Raw genomic sequence first — 466 nt, 5'->3', positions numbered from 1 at the left:
TGTAAAGCATTTGTCCTCATGGTTGCAAAGGTGGTTGTCCCACCTTCAGTATCACATCTGCATTCCAAGCAGGAAGAAGAAAGTGGCGTGGGAAAAAAGTATAGATCTGTTTGCTTTTGCTGGGTAACAAACAATCCCCCAAACCTGGTGGCATAAAACAACAATCATTGTGTCAGATGAGTGGTCTTCAGTTCTGCTTAGTTCAGCTGGTCTCTGTGGGTCTCACTCACACATCTGCAGACATCTGGTGGGTTGGCTGTAGGTTGGAAGATCTAGTATGAATCATTCATGTGTCTGGTTATTGACATGCTGTTGGCCAGAGAGACAGGAGTTCCCAGGCCACATGTCCCTTATCTTACAGTAGGCCAGCCCTGGTGTCTTCACGTGGCAGTTTCAGGTTTCCAAGAACAGCAAGAGAAGGGAATCTCCATCATGCAATCTGTTTTTGTTTGCATCTTGTTTGCTA

General features: G+C 45.7%; 1 annotated feature.

Moving 5' to 3' along the window:
- Positions 397-466: an enhancer, noted in NCBI's record as "active region_27203". NCBI's record gives its function as "activates an Ori minimal core promoter by ATAC-STARR-seq in GM12878 lymphoblastoid cells {active_cell/tissue: GM12878}" and the evidence as "EXISTENCE:reporter gene assay evidence [ECO:0000049][PMID:35858748]".

The sequence above is a fragment of the Homo sapiens genome, chromosome 8 (assembly GCF_000001405.40).
Source record: "Homo sapiens chromosome 8, GRCh38.p14 Primary Assembly".
In the NCBI taxonomy this organism is placed as follows: Eukaryota; Metazoa; Chordata; class Mammalia; order Primates; family Hominidae; genus Homo; species Homo sapiens.
This window is presented reverse-complemented; position numbering and strand designations above follow the sequence as displayed.